Below are 20,825 nucleotides of genomic sequence, written 5' to 3'. Positions count from 1 at the left end.
AGGCAAAAATCCACTCCCAAATTAGTGTCTGTGTGTTATATGTCTTTGATTTAATTTACGTTCACCTCCAAAGGGGCAAAATGGCTAGAGAAAAAATAAACAGGACAGTGTATGACTAATTGAAAGTTAAAAAGGGCCTTGCTTTTTCTAGACTGAAGGATACAAAATGAATACGAATAGTGAATAGTTGTCTAGCTGATTTAAAAGAGCCATTGTATTTCAGTTTCTTCTCTCTTCACCTTCATTTTAATAACTCTCCTGAAAATGGGATTTTTAGTAATCTGTCTCAGAGTATAATATTTGGGTTATCCTCAAATAGATGATAAATATTTTTATCCACCTGCCTCGGCCTCCCAAAGTGCTGGGATTACAGGCATGAGCCACCATGCCCAGCCTTGAGTTATACTTTATTAAAAATAATTCTGTTTTAAAAATTGGTGAGAAACAATCACAAAAATATGGTGTATGAATAAGCCAGAGATACTTGAGAATAATTATATGGAAGCTGATTTTCCAGGAAGAAAATAATATAAAATTACTAAAACGTCCACAAAAATGCTGCTACAGCATTTTTCCACTTTTATTTTTTTTTGCATTATGTTCCCCCTCATTCTTCAAGGGAAAATAAAAGATTCCTCAACCTTTGTAGATGTGGCTTATGATAAATACTGTAGGGACCTTAGCTCATTGTACCTAATAGAATGGAACATGGAACACATATGCCCTATTCTTGTTTACATGCACTTACATCAATATGTAATATGAATTTAATTTAATATCACTCCATAACTGTGTAACTTTATTTTGTTATTTCAGATATAATGAACACGACTGATAGGACATTGTAAATTTATAGTGATTAAGAGCTATCATCTGTAGTAATAGCCTATAGAGTTGATAAGTAGAATGAATTATGCATAGGAAAGAGAATAAAGAGTTAATTCCATTTCTAAATGTTTCTTATTGGGATAGAAGTTTTATAAGTTAAAGTTGCCTGATTTTAAAACATTAAACTCTTAGGAGACCCACTTCATGACAGTAACTACTTTACATTGTGAGTTTATTGTGGTATTTTAATTTATTTTCTTGTTTTTTTTTTTCCTCAAGAATACCCTTCATTAGTCATTCTAATCTTGTTGATTATCAAGGGTTCAAGTAAGAGCCTTCAATTGTCAGTAGGAAGAAAAGCTAAGCCTTTTATAAACGTGTCTGTTTGGCTATTTTGCGTAGTATAAAAATCCTTAGAATCATATTAGGTTGCATTTTGCTCCACTTTGAATGTTTTCCTCAGGGTCACAATGTTTTTCTCTGTGGAAGGTTCTTTGCAGTATAGTAAGCACACAAGGATTGACATTGCCCTTGTACATATCGTGCTGACATTCTTCTTTGTGGGTGAGAAGACAAGTAGTAAATGAATAATTTCTTACAGTTGTCTGCTACAAAGCAATAGATGAGAAAGTGACTGACTGGGACAGGACTACTTTCCATTAGAGGGTCAGGTAGGGAATGCCGCTTGGAGGAGACAGCCAGATACAGGAAAAGGAAGTCAGATGTCTTGAGCTCACTTTGTTGGAAAAAAGAAGGCCAGTGCTGTTGAAATGAGTACACAGAGGGTGTTGGAAGAGGTAGACAGAGGTTTGATCAGGTGGAGCCTTGTAGGCCATGGTAAGGAGCTTATTAAATAGATTATTAATTCCATGAGAAGCCATTAAAATAAGGCTTTAAGAGGCAGGATGCTACGATGTGACTTAAGGTTTGAAAAAGATTACTTTGGCTCTCATGAATAATGGACTTCAGGTGCTTTGAGTGAAAGCAGGGAGACTAGTTTAAAAAGCTTTGCTTCTTGATGAAGCTGGATTGTAAAAGAAACGGGATGACAATTTCTGTACTTTACAAAGTGTTAGTATATCTTCTGTCCAAACAGCTGTTTTATGTTTACTGTTTCTTTAGGTTATTTTCTTTATCATCTGAACTGCTGAGTTATTCTGAGTGGGTAATATTGCCTTTGAATATATCTATATTTTAGTTAGAGTAGTAACTGTTTAACGGACTACATAGGGGTACTTATATTTAAAATTTAGTATAAAAAGTTTGGGTAAAGATTTATAGTAATTATAATTTTTGTTTATTCCATTACAGATATTTAAGCACACATCTGAAAAGTTGAGATCATGATGTATATACAGTTGAACTTTTAACCTATTATCTCATATGTATTTTTCGTTTTTGAATCGGAATTGAAAAAATGTTTTTAAATTATGAGTTATAACAAACAAAATTTCATACAAAAGAAATGAATTATTATATAACAGATCTAATATAGCTCCCAAGAAATACTACAGGCAACCAAAAATCTTTCTGAGAGCTCCATCACTATCAAAACTCTGTCTTTTAAAGTGATAAAGTAACTTTTATTGTTATGCTTTTTAATAGCTGGTATTTAAACTATGGAAAGAAGAATTAATATACTCAAGCACCAGTTGACAAACTATTGATAGCCTATGTTTCAAAAGATAATTTGTAAGTTAATTATTTGGAAAATATATATATTTTTTAACCTATGAAAAATCTATTCTGAATGGTGGGTAGATTCTAAGGCCTGCCTATCAAACTGATTTAGTCTGTAATGCTTGACCAGTGTTGGTTTGGGTCCTGGGTTTTGTAACTAGAAGGGGTAGATTGGTTAGGACTTCACTTTATAAACATTTAAAATCCTCAGAATCTGTCTTGGAAGGCTTTCCCACATTCTAGTGCAGTTTGTTAGAATTATGCAATATGAGTGGGAAAGAATCTCAAAGAAAGTAAAGATAACTATAAAAGAAGCAACAGAGCCAGTGAAGTGTTAGCATTGCCCAGTGGCTCAGGCTTTTTGGGTTTTTGGTTTGATTTATTCTTTCAACTTTTCTGGTAATTTGCAAATTCTATCCTCTTTGCAAACTCTTTGTATTTATTTGTAATACCTTTTCAAGTGAGCTCTCTGTAGAACTTCCTAAGTTATAATGGCTAAAACTACAACTGGATAAAACTGCAGCTGTCCTGGTTGAGACTGGAGATGGAAAGGGCCAGAGGGACTCACTGGGGCTCTTGCACAGGACTCTAGTACTCCAAGGACCACAGGAAGAAACCACTGCACCTTGTGTTATGGGAGCCGCCCAGGCCTGCCCTACTCCAGACTGTGCCCTATCCAAAACAACGGTGTTACTTAACTTTGCAACCAAAATGCCATTCTAGCCAGATTTCGAAAGAACATAGGATTGAACTCATTCACACCACTGCGACTGTAAATAACTGACCTTTATTTCCTAAAGGACTTGCAGTTTTCATATTGACTTGTTAATGCAAAGGAATCTTGTAGAGTTGAAACACCAACATGAAGTAAAAATATTGGCAGTGTTGGTGTGTTTAGGTCATTTATAAATTTTTTGCTTATGAGTTGGAAACTTCTTGGCTTAAGTTTTGGATAATGACAACTTTTCCTGGATATATTTTAACTTAAAAGTTTTGAGAAACTTTTATTGCTTTCCAATAGGTTGTTTTTGCATTCATAAACAAATTAATTTTGAAGACACAAGGGGAGAATTGTACATTCTGTCTTTTAAAAGTTGAGAATAATAATTTGTGATTCTATTAAGAGCCAGATAATTGTAACAGAAATTCATATGTAAACCATAGTTGTTTATGAAAGTAAAATGTTCTGATTACTAAGAATACATTTAAACTGAAATGTTTTTAAAATAAAAATTTTTAATGTGTGGTGACATGTTTTATACTGATGATTAACTTTGTCTTTTCCAAAAAGAAGACAAACAGGGAAAGTATGCAGAAGTAATTTGATTAGTTTTGGGGGAGTCATGACTTCACACAGTACAGAAAACCAAAATAAGAGAGACATGGATTGGGCACCGACAGTAGAAATTGTATAGATGTTATCTTCTGTAATAAGACTCATTGTTTGATTTCAGATGATGAAAATTTTAAGCTTGTGTAATTCTAAAATTGTGTGGGACACATAAAAACTTCTCTTCAAAATACACTGTGTTTAAGTGCACATTAGTGTTCAGTGGTCCATTTATAGACATATCAGAGTTAGGCTACACATTTTCTAGTTTCTAACCTGCTGTGGTAGCACAGGTCAGAAAACTCTAAAATCCTACTATTTAAAATTATTAAAGCATTTTGCTGTTTTACAAAAATTTGTTTGTTGTATGTACATAACCGTTTGCATTGATTGATTGATTGATTGAGATGGGATCACACTGTAGTGCCCAGGCTGGCCTTGAATTTCCGGGCTCATGTGTCCTCCCACCTCAGCAGCCTGAATAGCTGGGATTATGGGCTCCTGCCACATTGCCTGGCTACATAATTATTTTTTGAAAAGCTATTACAGGTTTCAAAGTTTTGTGAACCAGACTTAACTTTTTTTTATTATTGGTTAGTTTTCTTTTCTGTCTTAACAAATTTTCACATGTGCAAATTGTTTTATTTTGTAGCACATTCTTAGTGTAAAAATCAATAGTGTTGTAGAAAGCTTAAAAAAGAGACTTTTTAATTGCTTAATTGTACAGACTGCTAACTTTGAAAAAGTATTTTCCAATATTTTGGTTTAACTATGATCTTTCAATTTATGACAAATATTTTTTTCCTGTCAACTACCAAATTCTCTATAAACTACAACCCAGCAACACACATGTGTAAACCAACAGAAGATTGCATTTGTGTGTATGGAAAGGTGGTTCACTTTTTAAAATTCCTTAAGAAAACTGACTTTATATGTTGTCAGTATAATGTGGCTTATGACTTTTTTCTAATTTAAATTAGGGCCTTTATATTTACAGTTAAAACCTTCACCAGGTGCAGGGATTGATGGGCGTTAAGTGAAATGATAGACTGATCTAATTATTCTACATTCTTGTTTTTAACCAAAGTTACATTTTATAAACTGTGGTATAGTAGAAAGCAGTTTTTTTTCTGTCTTGGAGTAGCATTTTATATTAAGGAAAACAAATTATTATCTAGTAAAAGTAGATAACAAAGTGAAGAGAACAAATTATTTTGTTGTAAGATAATGGAAAAAAGGATACTACTGTTGAATTTTCTAGTCCTATAGTGAAAGAAGTGGAAAGAAGGTAGACCAATAGTCATTACTGTTTCAGTGACAAAAATAATTTTGTAATTTCTGCCTCCAAAAAATTGGATTTATAGAATGAATTTCTGTAAGAGTCTTTCTGCAATATTTGCCATAGACTGTCAAGCTGAAATAAAAGCCAAGGTACCCATCAGGTCTCAAGGAGATGGCACTGAGTTTGGTCTAAAGAAACCTTTGTGCACCAAGTCTTCACAGTAGTCAGTCAGTCTCTGTCTCTCTCTGTCTCTCTCTGTCTCTCTCTGTCTCTGTCTCTCTCTCTCTCTCTCTCTCTCTCTCGTCTTTCTCTCTCTCTCTGCAGATGTTATTTTTGCTACATTTGCTATTTTAACCTGTCAGTTAAAAAATAATTACTATGTCAGTATGGCTGGCAGCTCATATAGGAAAAATATGCTGTCTCTTAATCAAAGGTGATTACAGTTTTCCCCTGTCTATAAATGTGCTTGTTGTGTAACGAGAATGCATTAGTCTCAGCCTGATGTACGAAATGAAAGGCAGTAAGAAGCAGCACCATTGTTATCACTCCAGGCGTGTCTAATGAATCGTGTTTCCATGTTCTCTCGGTCACGCCGTAGAGTGCCCTCAGCCAGGGCTAAGCCTCCTGTAAAATGCTCTTTAAGATTATTGTAGCAAGAACAGAAATGCTGCATGGCTGGGGGTGGGGAGAGAATGCCAACGAGACAGCTGCATTTCAAACAGTTACAGCTGCAAGGATTACTCATAGTAATAGCAGTGACAGACAACTGTTTGAGCTTTAGTGTAAAAGGCAATTTGGGGACTTGCCCTGTCAGAATTTTAGTAGCAAGCTTCTGTGTGCACGTGTGTGTGCATGTGCGTGTGTTTTTTATTCAAATTAGTTTGTGTCTGAAGAGTGGAAGGAAATATTTTAAATTTTTACTTCTCAATTGTGCTAATGTTGAAATCAGTAGTTGACTCATCTTTATTAAAATCATTGTCCTAGAGGAAGTTTATAAAATGTTTATTTGTAGCAATGATGAATTTAAATGTATATGTTCTAACTGAATCACATGTCTGCTTTTCCGTCTCAAAATTTATCTTGTGATGATTCCTGTTTTAAAAATATTGGTTTTCCTTGTAATTTCTGAACATACAGCCTTGTTTAATATAGGATCCTTATTTTAAAAATTTATTTCAAATATGATGTAAGCTTATAAAAGTAATGCCTGTCATGAAATCTGGAAAATACTCAAAGAGGTAAAGGAGAAAACAATCATTATTCTAGCAGAGATAACTGTTAATTTTAATCCTTCTGGACCCTTGTTTATGCATTCTAGAGCATATTAAGAGCATGTTAATCATTTTAAAGGTTAAAAATGGTAATCATTTTAAAAAATATTTGGAAGAAGTAGCAAATGGGGACAAATTTGGTTTTGAGAAGTCAATAACAGCCATTGTGCAAGATTTCTTTTTCAGTGTGCAGCTATTAAAGTAACATTGCAGCCTGTTTTCTGTAGCAGTTGTCTTTTGAAGGCCTTGTACAGTTTATCTCGAAATTTAGTTTTATGGTTTCCTTCAATTTAAAGTTTGCTGGCTTTACAGGGAGTCTTGTGATCCATTGAAATGCTAACTTGGGTCGTGTCTCAACTGCTACAATGCTGTGTAGAAACTGTCATTAAAATTCTGGTTATCCTGCAACTGGCAGAGAACCCATGCTGATTCCTTAGGAAGATAGTACACTGTTAAAATTTTGAATCGCAATTGTGCTTCTGTCTGCCAAATATTATCAATATTTGTAATCACTTAAGGTTGCAAATAGTTTGAAATAAATGGAACGTTTTAGTATGTATCTTCTATCCATGATTCTTATTTGTTTGATGAATTGACATCGGGAAGGTTACAATCCATTTCCAACATAGATTTGTTAAGTGATACTGAATATTTTACACTCATGAGCAATTCAAGAAATCAGAGCTCTAAATAGGTTGAAGTTGATATAAGTAATAAGTCCATTTAGTTATTAATGACTTCAAATATAGATTCTACCAGGCAACTGATGGCAGCATAAATTGATCAGTCAGTGGTGGTGTAGTGTTGTAAGTCATTGGATTTTTTTATGTGTGAAGTGCTATATTTCATAATTAATGTAGCATTGTGCTCCTTTGTTACTGAGTTTCTTTGGTAAGTCAGTTTTTAAGAAAGCAGATACTTCAAAATCGTTTATTTATCTTGGTATCCTTCATTTGCTGCAGTTAGATTAAGTGGATACATGTTTCCTTGTTGTAATATCTGATTAGTGTAGTTTTTGGAAGTAGATTTAATAATTCAGAAGATTTTTTTTTTTAAACACTACGATGCGTTTTATATGTTTGAGGTAGAAATTGAAAACAAAGGCAGTGGGCAAATGATAAACCTTGGATTCAGAGCTATGCTATCTTTAGCCGTTAGTTACTGAAATCTAACTGGGAAACAATGTACTTGTTTCCTGTGCCTTCCTTTACTTGTGTTTCTGGAGTTTCGAGTGAAATTTGATTTTCAACAATTTTAACGGCTGAATAAGAAGTGCCATCCCTGAAAGTGCCCTTCCCCCACCTCCAATATTTGCAGTGGCCAATGCCGTTGCTGAACTCAATGTTCTGGATAATAGGTTTCATTAGTTTTGATGCCTGAGGTAAAAAAGCAGTAGGTGGGAGTAAGAAGTGTTTTTGATGTCTAGACGTTCATTTCAGCTGTTGCTGCAATATGATACATTAAAAGGAAATATGTATCATAGCTCAGAGGAAATATGTATTCTTTGAAAGTAATTCTACTTTTAAACTGTGTAAGGCTGGGTGACCTGAATTCTAAAAGCATGAGCTTGAATTTCTTCAAGGTTTCACAATCTTTATGCTCCTCCCTACCCTATTCCATTCTCCCTCCTCCCATTTTTTTTTCCCCTTCAAGTAAAGTATGTCAGTTTCATTTATGGAATTGGAAGGGATATCTTTCCAAGATCTCTGCTGGAAAACACAAAATCATTGAAGTATATGCTGCTTTGATATTTTGCCATATTGACTTTTTTTCTCCCTGAACCTTTTCTATGTTTTTTCTTTCAAATAAGCTTATTAATTCTGTAAGGAGTCATGTTTGGTGAAGTTGAAAGAAGTTATATTGCAATTGATGGGGATTTGAAAAATTATTTGGGCACTAAGCAGTAATTACTACTATTTAAAACTTTTCCTTTATAAACACTGTCTTTTCTGTTAAAAAACATTTATATACTACTTTTGCAGTTTAAATATTTGATTATGAGGATAACTGTATTAAAAAAGGTTGAATAACAGCAACGTAAACACATTCTGATTATAGCTTTTATAATTTAAGTGAGATAACTTTAGTGCCAAAATAGTTTTTCTTTGTAAATAGGCAGCTGTAGTAGTACTTAGTTTTAGTTTTTAATCTGGCTGTAATAGACAAAATAACAGCAGGAGAATGTTTTAATTTAGAAATTCCTTGTTTTGATTGACTGTTGTCACTCATTTATTTTACATGCATTTTAGATCTCTTGGTTCTTTTGAGACCAACAAAATTTTAGGAAAATTCTCCCATTATGCATAATTAGACTTATAAACATAGTCTATAGAGATAGTCTTTTTGCTACTTTATATTCTTAAGGTATTATAAGCATTTAAATAGAAACTGGAAAGATCAAAAGAATTAGAAAGGCTTTTTTTCCTGTTTTTTATTTTTTTTTCTTTTGGAATGGAGACAGCATGCCGTGGAGAGATTGTAGGTTTCATAAAGATAGGACTTTCTTATAGACTTTTTGGTAGTCGTTTTTCTTCTCAGTCTACCTTGAAAGGGAGAATGCATTTCATTTGTAGAAACGTAGGCTAACTACTCTGTCCCTCTTTATGTATTTTCCCCTGAAGAAAATCTTACTCTGTGTGTGTGTGTGTGTGTGTGTGTGTGTGTGTGTGTGTGTGTGAGAGAGAGAGAGAGAGAGAGAGAGAGAGAGAGAGAGAAAGAGAGATTATTTAAAGAAGCCAAAATGTGGTTTTGTCTGACTTAGCCTTTGAAAAAGTTAACATGTAACTAGAACACATTAATTTTAGGTCCAAATTTTGGAACCAAAGGAAAATTTAACTTCAGTGTTAACATTGCCTTTCTACCCAGTGCTAAGAATAAAAGAATGGTTAAAGAAGGGTTGAGTGAGTGGATTTGCTTAACACTAAGTGTTGTGTAGGGGAAAGAGCATGGGTGTCAGAGTCAGAACATTTGGATATGAATCCCATCTGTACCACTAATCCTCTTTAAGTAGATGTGAGGAAATTTTAGATTGGTGCTAATTTCAATGACATTTTGAAATATACATAATCAAGTCAACTCTATGCATGTTTATGAATATCCGAGAAGTTCTAGCCACAGCAGCTATGAAAATAAATTGCTTCCCCTTGAGGAATTCAGTTAATGGAATGATTAATATATTTATTATTTGTAACAGTAGGTGTAAAAGCATTTGATCCCTGTATGCTGCTGACTGTAGCTCAGTTTGACTACAAATTCTTAAGACTTCTTAGTTATGTGACTTTGGACAAGTTTCATATATATATATATATATATATATTTTTTTTTTTTTTTTTTTTTTTTTTTTTTAAAGATATGGGGTCTTTCTCTCTTGCCTAGGCTGGAGTACAGTGGCATGCCATCATAGCTTACTGCAGCCTCAAACTCTTTGACTCAAGTGAGCCTTCTGCCTCAGCCTCCCAGGAAGCTAGGACTGCAGGCCCGTGCCACCAAATTCAGCTAAGTTTTTAAAGTTTTTTTAAGAGCTGGAGCCTTGCAATCCTACCACTTGATCTTCCAAAGTGATAGGATTACAGGTGTAAGGCACTGTGCCTTCTTAAGATTAAGTGTTAGTTTTCTCATGTATAAAATGGAGATTAGAATCAACTGTATTCATCAGAGTTCTTAGCTTCAAACTAAGAAAAGGAGTTGATTAAAAGAATATTGGGTATCCAACTATTTGGCACTTTTACAATCGGCGCTACAGAACTGGTTCAATGAGAAAGGTACTGCTAGCTACCACCAAGCACTAGATGCTGTGGTACCTCTGCTACTTTAGCACCAAAAACTTGATCTTGAAGCCTCTGTTCCTAGAGCTGTCAGAAAGATATCTCCATCGGCTTTCTTTTTGTCCCTGGATTCAGAGTCAAAGGTGTCGACCAGGAGCATCTGGTAGGGGTTAGAATGTATGTCCTTGTCCACACTGTAGGGGAGGATGGAAAAGAGAGAATCAGTATTTTTAGTTTCCGTTAGGGGTGATTATATTTGATCCCAATTAGGACTCTTAATGATAGTGATAATGAAGAAGCCCGACACTGAGTGACAGAAGTGTGCCAGATGTCTCATAGTGTGGTGGTGAGTAGTCTCCCCACCTCCCCATTTATATGTAGTGCCTAATTCAAAGCTTGGCACATAAAATAAAACAAGAATGATTGTTTTCTGGATAGAAAACCAACCTTGATTATATGTTATTTAATTGTTAATTTAAAATTTAAGACATTTTATGCTAGTAGCTATTCTGCAAAGTTTCAAAATAATTTTTGCTTCCGAGTGGTTTGCACATACATGTGTTAGCTTTTTGAGAGCATTCCTAGTTCTTAGCCTGGTGCTTGACACATAACACGGTCAAGTAGTGTTGTCTAGTTAATGTTGATCAAATTATCTGTTATTAGATTCCAAGCATGTCTTTGCAGATTTAACTTATTTTGAAATTTTAGGGATTTATTGAAACATATGCTGCTCCTGTATTTCTGGAAACTCTGATCATGAGAAAAAAAGGATGGTCTGATTTACATTCTGTTTGACAAATGCATTTGTTAGTGATAGTAAATTGAAAGGGTCAGCAAATTAATGCATTATCCTTAATTTCATAGCCTAAATTGATAGTATTTATTAGAGTGGTTATTGGCTTATAATTTTTTATGATAAATTGATTATTCTTGAATCTTTAGTATGTAATTTTCAATGCAATATCTAAGACATAGGAAATTTAAATCCAAACACTGAATGCTTTTTAAATTATCTACTGATTTATATTTAAATTTTGTTTGTTAACTTATAATTTATAATTTTCTATTGTTTTCTAAGCTTTAGTACACTTTCCTTAGACAAGGGCTTAATATAGTATGATTTGTTTTATTTTGTATTACTACTTTCCTATTTTATATTAACTTAGTGCCCAAACTTTATGTTAATTTATGTTATATACTTACAGAATATAAAAGAACAGATGAGAATGACCATATAATTATTTTTCAAAATAATTTTTAGCATTTAAAAAATAAAAATTTTGACTGCGTGCAGTGGCTGACACCTGTAATCCCAGCACTTTGGGAGTCTGAGGCAGAAGGATCACTTGAGCTCAGGGATTCAAGAGCAGCCTGGGCAACATGGTAAGACCCCATCTCTACAAAAAAATTAAAAAGTAACTGGGCATGGTGGCCTATGCCTGTAACTCCCAGAAAGTGGGGAGACTTAGGTAGGAGGATTGCTTGAGGCTGGGAGGTCGAGGCTGCAGTGAGCTGTGATCATGTAACTGCACTCTAGCCTGGGTGAAAGAGCGAGACCCTGTCTCAAAAAATTAAAAAAATGCCTTAAGATGTTTATATTTTGTTACATTTGCATTATATACAGTGTTTGATATGAAGTGAAGAATATAACTGGTACATTGGGCTCTAGGAACAGTTACTTCAGTCTGAATTTCCTTGTTAATTACTCAAACTTTTTTTTTTTGTTTTTAATACTTTATGAATGGAGGTTAATCACATAAATACCATATCTTTTGGATTTAGAGAATGCTTTTTATATATAAATTTAGAGTAGGAGTCCTTTTGATTACAATACTAAGAAAATAAAGAGGTCAATATTAGCATATTCATGATGGCTTAAGTCTAGAAACTTGGCCCAATGGTAAAATGAGTTTTCGTAATTTAGAACAGTAAAAGATTGTGAGTAAAGTTTACCATATTTAGTAAATAATACATTATTTAGTAAATAATATTTCTGCGCGTTTGCACAAATGTATGCAGGTATGTAACTGCCACTATAATCAAGATATAGAGTGGGGGGCATCACCCCTCAAATTTCCGGTGTCCCTTTGGTATCAACCTGTCTCACCACCTCCATCCCTGGAAACCATTGAGAAGTTTACAGTACCTTAAATTTGCCTTTTGCGAGAATGACATATGAATGAATCATACAGCACATAGTCTGAGTATGGCTTCTTTTTACTTAGCATAATGAGATTCATCCATATTTTTTCTTGTATTGGAAGTTCCTTTTTATTTCTGAGTAGTAGCCCATTGTATAGATATTTCATTGTTTTTCCCACTGTTGAGAGACATTTGGATGGTTTCCAGTTTTTGGCATTTACAAATACAACTACTATATACATTTGCTGTAGTTTGTTTTGTGTTGTGAGAGTACAGTAGGAGAAAAAGAGTTCGTTTTTTCCTAGAACCTTACATCCTCCAAACTTGAGTATATACCTAGAAGGATGTAAGGTTCTAGGGAAAAACAAACTCTTTTTCTCATGTACTCTCACAACACAAAACACTTCTGTGACCAAATGTTGCAGAGGTGGAGAGCAGGTGTTTCCCCTACATCAGGTAATTAATCAGTTTTGCAGGGGACACCAGCTGGGTGTCCTCTAATTCAATTCAATTCTGACACTGTCTACCTGGGGATAGCATCCCATCTTACAGGTTGAGGGCTTAGTCCCACAGGACTGTGGGACTTCAGATGCCAGGAGTAAGTCTGGACCTCCAAAGCTTCTGACCAATTGGCTATAAATCTGGGGTTCCCACAGCCCCCTCCTTGGGTTCTGTTAATTTGCTAGAATGGCTCACAGAACTCAGGGGAAAACTTTACTTATGTTTACTGGTTTATTACAAAGGGTACAGAGAACAGCCAAATGGAAGAGATGCATAGGGCAGGTTATGTAGAGAGGGGCAGGAGCTTCCATGCCTTCTCTGAGTGCGCCACCCTCCAAGAACCTCCATGTGTCCAGTTATTTTGAAGCTCTCAGAACTCAGTCTTTTTGGGTTTTTATGAAAGCTTCGTTATATAATCATGTAGGTTTGATTCATTAAATCATTGTTAATTGTCCATTAGTGATCAACTCAACTTTCAGCGCTTCTCCCTAGAAGTCAGGGTGGGGGTTGGGGAATAGGGGGCTGAGATAGAAAGTTCTAACCCTCTGGTCACATGATTATTTCCCTGATAATCAGCCCTCATCCTGAGGCTATCTAGGCCACCTGTCATTTCTTTAGCCACTAGTGTACAAAAACCATTCTTAGCCCTCTAGACATTTCAAGGATTTTAGGAGCTGTATGTCAGGAAACAGGACCAAATATGTGTTTCACAATATTACGACGGGATATTGTCATATTACAACGGGATATTGGGTTGTATGGTAAATGTATGTTTAACTTTACAAAATATCGCCAAAGGCAACTTTTCCAAAGTGGCTGTGCTGTTTTTGCATTCCAACCAGCAGTATATGACAGTTCTGGCTACTGTATTCTATATGTTAATCAGCACGTAGAATTGTCAGTTTTTCTTTTAAGCCATTTTAATGGATAATGAAGTTTCATTGTGATTTTAATTTACATTTCCCTAATGACTAATGAGGTGTTGAGCACTTTTTCATATACTTATTTGCTATTCATCTAGTCTTACTTGGTGAACCGTCTGTTCAAATCTTTTGCCCATTTAAAAAATTGTTTTTTTTTGGTAGTTAAGTTTTGAGATTAAAAAAAAAAGTAACGTATTCTGAATACAAGTCCTTGTCAGATATGTGATTTGTAACTGTTTATTCCCCATCTGTGGCATGTCTTTTCCATAGCTTAACATAACTTTCCCATATTTTTTGAAGAGCCAAAGTTCTTCATTTTGATGAAACTCTGTTTATCAGTTTTTCTTTTATGGATCATGCTTTTGGTGTCATATCTAAGAAATCTTTGCCTACCCTAAGCTCCCAAAATTTATCTCCTATGTATTTTTAGAAATACTAGATTTAGGTTTTGCGTTCAGGTCTGTGATCTCATTTTGAGTTACTTTTTCTATATGGTTTGAGGTTCTTTTTCTTTTCTTCCTTTACTGAATTGACTGAATTGCCTTGGCACCTTTGTTGAATTAAAAAAAATGAATTTGTGGCTCAATTTTTGAACTCAGTTCTATTGATGTGTATCCTTTCTACAGTACTGTGCTGGCTTGCTTGCTCTATCCTAATTCATACTAAACCTAGAACTCGGTTGACGTAAGTATTTCTGTATTTTTCTTTTACCACATTGTTCTGGTGGTTCTAGTTCCTTTGTCTTTTCATATAAATATATAGACTCAGCTCAGCTATTTCTATAAAACATCCTGCAGGGATTTTTATTAGAATTGAGTTGATTCTGTAGTTTGTTTTGAGAAGAATTGGCATCAAGAATTTTTCTATTTTGTGGTCAATTTATTTATCTTTTTTATTTCGTTTGTTAGTATTGTAGTTTTAGCATATTTTGTAAGATTTATACCCAAGGATTTTATGGGTTTTGGTGCTACTGTAAATGGTACTTTAAAAAATTTCAGTTTCTAATTATTTATTCCTAAATATAGAAATGTGATAGTTTTTTGTCTGTTGACCTTGTATTCAGTGATTTGGCTAAACTCAGTTTTAGTTCTAGTAGATTTTTTCTGTTAATTCTTTAGGATTTTCTGATAGACAGTCGTGTCATATGTAAATAGAGACGATTATTTCTTCTTTCTTGCCCTATTGTATTGGATGAAATTCAGGTATAATGTGGAATAGGAGTAGTGAGAGCAGACATCCTTACCGTTCGTTCAGTCTTTTGCCACTAAGTATGATGTTAATTGTAGGTTTTGGTTAATCACTCTCAAGTTTTTTTTGTTGTTGTTTGTTTGAAGAAGAAAGTCTCTTCTGGGTTCTATTTTAAAATTGTAGAAATCAGGATAAAATTTTAATGGTGTATTAAAATTGTGTCAGCTATACAGCAATTGTGGTAAAGCTGGCATTGCCTGTGCATGCTCATTAATTGTTCAGTGTTCCACAGCGCATGCCTGGAGAGCTGTTAACACCTCAGTATTTCAGTTGACAAAGTATTTGAGAATAATTAGAGGGAGTTTGTTGTTTGTAAACTTTCCTTTGACATCCTCTGACAAGGTCAAGGTAACACCATTATTAAAACTTGTAAAATGATGATATCATGAGGAAGAAATTGGATGTGAATATGAGATATTAAGACAGGTAACCTGGTTTCTTCACCAAGTCAACTGCATGTTTAAAAAAAAGGAAAAGGGCTGTACTTGATCAAAGAAGACTTAAGAGAGAATTGGCAGACCTTGCTGAGAATATGATTTGATGCACGCTGAAGTATTTAGGAGTGGGATTTGCCATAAAGTATATCAAAATAAAAACAAAAAGGGTGGTTGCAGCAGGAGACATAATGTTGATTATTTGGCTTAGGAATTTATTGGGACTTGTTATTCTATTTTCTTCTCCCTTCTTGATCGATCTCCCCCTTCTGTCTCCCTCTCCCCCTCTCCTCTCTCTCTTCCCCCCTCCCTCCCCTCTCCCTCTTCCCCCCTCCCTCCCCTCTCCCTCTTCCCCCCTCCCTCCCCTCTCCCTCTTACCCCTCCCTCCCCTTTCCCTCTTCCCCTCCCCCTCCTCTCTCCCTCTTCCCCTCTTCCTCCTCCACTCACTGTCTCCCTCCCTCCCTCCTTTTTATTTATTTTTTATGAGACAGGCTTTCACTCTGTCACGCAGGCTGGAGTGCAGTGGTGGCATGATCATGGCTTGCCGCAACCTTGACCCTGCTAGGCTCAAGCAATACTCTCGCCTCAGCGTCCAGAGTAGTTGGGACAACAGGCGTGCACAACTACACCTGGCTAATTTTATATATATATATAATTTTTTTTTTTTTTGTAGAGATGGGGACTGGCTGTGTTGCCCAGGCTGGTCTTGATCTGCTGGGCTCAAGCAATCCTTCTGCCTCGGCCTTGCAAAATGTTGGGATTACAGCTGTGAGCCACCACATCCAGCCCCCTATTTTCAAGTATATTTGGAGATTTTAATATCAGAAGTTTTAAACAATGTGCCGAATAGGTGTCACCAGTGGAAGAAAATTATGGAAATAAAAGTGGCACACTCTTCACAAGTGCTGCATCACCAGCACTCTTTATGGCACAGAGGATGATTATGTAGGAAGATACTGCACCAGTGACTGGGTTGAAGAGTGATTCAGAAGAGGTAGACTTGGAATATTGATGTAGTTAGGAATTTTTAACTAATTTATTTTGCTTATATTATCTGTTTTATGTATGCATAATAATGGAATGTGATGACTAGGACTCAATAAGTTTAAAGGAGCTCTTTGAATAATTGGAAGGTAAAAATTGTAAGTGATAGGAATGATGTTATAGTTTGTCACCTTCCCCTCTTCTCCTGGTGGTTTGCAAAATAATGGTGTATCTCAAACTTGATGGTGCCTTAGGGTCAGTGAAACACAGTAGGAAATAAAAACAAATTAATGTGGGGTGTTCTTTCTATTGAGATATTAGCTCTTTTTCAAACCCAGAAAAATTCTACCCAAAGGATAAATGTGTCAGAGGGAACATAGATTCATGATACCTGCAGAGCATTGTTGGAAATTTCGGAATGTTCTGTCTTAAGCAAAGACTATCATTTGTTAGCAGGAATGTTTTTCTGTTTGCTGTACTTTATTTCTCTTGCTATAAATATCATAACTGTTTTAGACAGAGATTGCTTTGGGAAAATTTGGTAAATCAGGATTAGCCACATAGGCAGGAAGACAAAAAGTTATTTGACATAACCAAGAAAAAAAAATTCAGCTTTGTAATTTTCAGAAAGTCTAATAGAAGATAAAAGGCCTGAATGTGTAGTTTTTCAAATGCTGTCTGATTTGAGAATATGGAGATGCATTTTGGTATGTCTACTGGTGTGGTAAAAGCATTAAACATGCCTTGTGGATATCATGTGTGTTTTAATTCTGTCAGAATTTTCTCCTCTGAGTGCTTTTGTCAAGATAACAAGTAAAAGAGAGGAAATTTTCTTCTGTAAATGTTGTTTTCATCCTTCCAATTTTTTGCTGTCTTGCATTGAACTAGTGTAATTTAAAAGGAAATTAACTGTCTTCTCTAGGACATTTTGTATCTGTTTATATATTTATGAAAATAAAAGGAATTTTAGGAATGCATGGGGCATTGTTAATACGTTGGATTCTTTTGGTGTTGGAGTTACTTGTGGCTCAATGTTATAATATATTTCAGAGGCAAACAAGATACTTCCCAAAATGTCAAACATTAACAAAATTATAAATTCAGGAAATAAATTTGATGTTCTGGGAAGATGTAATTTCCTGACAGTCTCTAAAATCATGTCCTTTAGACCTTCAAAACATGTAAAGACATTTGTGTAAATCTCACACTTTTGGAATTTTTTTCCTCTTGATTTTCCCTCTAAAAAACATTTTATAACTTTGCTATTAATTTGTGACATTCTTTTTACCTTTCAATAGAACTTTAACAAAATTAGTCTTTGCGATACTCTTAAATAGATTAATTTGAGAATTTTAAATGATTTTAAACTTTGAAGAAGCAGATTGTAAAGACATTTATGGGAGGAGTGTTACACCATGCCTCATATTTCAGACTTTAAAACCAAGACACATTACTTTTTTTTGTACGTAAGTATTTTCTAACTTTGGGCAAATACTTAAATTCCACTCTCTGTTTCAGCGTGAGATTATTTAAGTCATTTAAATTAACTCATGAACTTTGCTTTAGAAAAATGTTTTAAAAGTTTCTTTTTATTTGGATGTCCTTTTTACTGGTTCTTTTTTTTTCTTTTTTCTTTTTTTTTTCAGTTGTGGAAGAAGGACTCTGGGAAAATGGCCTTTCCTATGAATGTAGGACGCTGCTCTTCAAAGCGATCCACAATCTGTTAGAAAGGTAAGAGAAGGAACAGCAGACAGTGGTTTGCAGACAACCAAGTATATTGCTAGATACCGAGAGTTTCCTGTAATTTTCAAAAACTTTTCACTTGCAATGATTTATTGCTAGTATGAAAATTACATAAATCTTTAGTTTCTCTTTCTATTGATATAATTTGAAATTTAGGGAAGTTTTGGGAATGGTACAAAGAACTCCCATATTCCCTGCCCTTCAACGGTAGTTTTTATTTTTAAAATTTATTCCCTAAATCATTTGCATATTTGTAAACTCAAGATTGATGTTCTTTTTTACCCTTAAGTATTTGGTGTATGTTTCCTAAGGACAAAGGTATATTAGCACAGTATCATGATAAAAATTAGGAAATGTAACATTGATAAAATGCCATTATCTAACCCGTAGTTCAATTCAGATGTCATTGGTTGTCCCAGTTACATCCATTATAGCTTAACCTCCTAAGATTAATCCATGATCATACATTGTATTTAGTTTTCATGTCTCTTTAAATCCAGAACAGTTCTTTAGCCTTTTTTTTCTTTCTTGACATTGATATTTTTGATGAGTTCAAACCTTATATTGACTTTCAGTTTGAGATAGTTTTCTCATGCTTAAATTCAGGTTATGCTTTTTATTAGTAGTAGGAATACCATAGAAGTGATGTTGTGTTTTCAGTAGGCTCATATCGTCAGTGTCCCATTATTAGTGATGTTAACATGTTCTGTCAATTGACTGAGGTAATGTTCTGTCAAGTTTCTCCGCTATAAACTAATAAGTATTTTGTTAACTGTTATCTTTGTCAATTTTGTGTTTGTAATTAATATGTAATTTGTGGCCAGATACAATGAGATTGTATAATTATCCTATTTCTCATCAAATTTTCATTTATTTGTTTTAGACTATATTGGTAGTCCTTGCTTAAATCATTTATTACCATTATGGTTGTACTGTTCATTTTCAAATGCCACCATTCTTTCTACTTTTTATTAGTTGGCATCCTGTTGTAAGGAAGAGCTTTTTCATTTTCTTGCATTTTATTTCCTTATTTATTTATTTATTTATTTATTTATTTAATCTTGCTATGTAAATTGGGACCCATGGATTGTTATTTTATTCAATGGATTATAGTTGATTTTTACCATCATTTATTTTGATGCTTAAATTTTTCCAGATTTGGTCAGAGGAAGCCCCTTTGTGATGGCTCGCTCCTATGTCCTTTTGACATGATCCCATCGTTGGAGCATCCCCTTACTTTCTGGCATAGCAATATGTTCCAGGCTCTGAATAGTGTTTTGAGGGGAGAAGTGGATGAGAAAGAATGGGTTCATTAAGAGCTTGTATGAGAAAAACTTTTTACGTCTCTTCCTGAGTCTGTATGTAGTACTTTCAGGTAATCAAAGCTGTGAGGACTTACCAGTTTCTTATCCAAACTATTGGCTAGGGTGGTTACCACTGTAATACAACTGCTTAGGACACTTGAACTACAGTTGATATGTTATTTAAGCTACTCAGAAAGACTTTTCTGACGGAAGATTTCTCTATTTCTCATTCTCAACTTTAGCTCCTCTGAGTGTTCCTCCAAATCTGTCTTTTGGAGTAGACCTAGAAATCATCTGTTACTAAGGTGTACTATGCATGTGGAACCATTGATTTAAGAGTTGAGTACTCTTAAGTATTCTAAATATTTGGTAATTCTGTCTCCCACTGTAAAACGAAACAAAGTACACAGAAACTCTATCCAAGAAAATGTGGAAAACTTACTGTTGCCATAATCCTGTACCAGAATAAAGCTCTTGGTATCTCTGCAATAATTAACACACGTTTAAGCACAATTCTTTTTATACAAAGTTACAAGGTATGTGAACAAAGTATATTTTAAAATTGTAGCTCACTGTGTTTTTTTTTAATATCATGATTTATTCCTTTCAGAAGAATACGAACAAATGCGAAAATGAATTACATTCTTTTAAGTTTTGTACTGGCAATGGTAGCATGTTTCTTTGTCGAGAGACAATTAGAAGAGCAGAAAAACTGGGAGGGAGGGGAAATGCAGGTATTTCATTTATTTATGGCTCATGAATTCAGAATTTTTTTGTTGGAAATTGAAGTCAGGTCAAATTAAACTATTATTTATAAGAAAATTGTCAGCCTGGGAAACATGGTGAGACCATGTATCTACAGAAATTTTAAAAGTTAGCTGAGCATGATGGTGTGCTCCTGTGGTCACAGCTGCTTGGGAGGTTGAGGTGGGAAGATTGCTTGAGCCCAGGAGGTTGAGGCTGCAGTGAGCTGTGTTCATGCCACCACACTCTAGCCTGGGTGACAGAGTGAGACCCTGTTTCCAAAAAAAAAAAAAAAAAAAAAAAAAAAGGAAATTAATTATGACATATAAAGTTTGGGATAGTTCTAAAGAATTTTGGGTTATTCCTTGGCTTCATTTCAGGGTCTGTTACTTGGACAGTTACCCTAATCTCACTAAGCCTTAGTTAACATTTAAGTACAGGACACCATGTACCTTGAGCTTTTGCTAGATGATAGATATATATCATGTGTGCCACATAATGCCTCACATACTGTTAATGTCAGTAATTATTTTCACCATAAATTTTTTATTTTACATACTTTGATTTGTATTCTTTCAAATTTCATTAAAGTAGTTCCAGAATGCTCTATTTGAGCCCTCCTACAGGAGTCAATTTTGAAACAAATA

The 20,825-nt window shown here is 34.6% G+C and overlaps 1 protein-coding gene across 8 annotated transcripts in view; it reads left to right on the top strand.

The window, feature by feature from the left end:
- The window catches only part of MED13L (mediator complex subunit 13L), a 319,118-nt gene that overhangs the window by 148,148 nt on the left and 150,145 nt on the right, over window positions 1-20,825 (top strand). For 6 of the 8 annotated variants that reach the window (XM_047428608.1, XM_017019090.2, NM_015335.5 and 3 more), the window contains one exon: window positions 18,034-18,118. Coding sequence is in view for 4 of the 8 variants with exons in the window: in XM_017019090.2 (XP_016874579.1) it covers window positions 18,034-18,118 (85 nt within the window). In the remaining 4 variants the exon portion in view is untranslated. Of the gene's footprint in view, window positions 1-9,737; window positions 11,539-18,033; window positions 18,119-19,676; window positions 19,773-20,825 lie in introns of those variants that run through there. The other 2 variants (XM_047428611.1, XM_047428610.1) reach the window with 2 other exon arrangements.

Source organism: Homo sapiens, chromosome 12 (assembly GCF_000001405.40).
Source record: "Homo sapiens chromosome 12, GRCh38.p14 Primary Assembly".
Lineage (NCBI taxonomy): Eukaryota > Metazoa > Chordata > Mammalia > Primates > Hominidae > Homo > Homo sapiens.
This window is presented reverse-complemented; position numbering and strand designations above follow the sequence as displayed.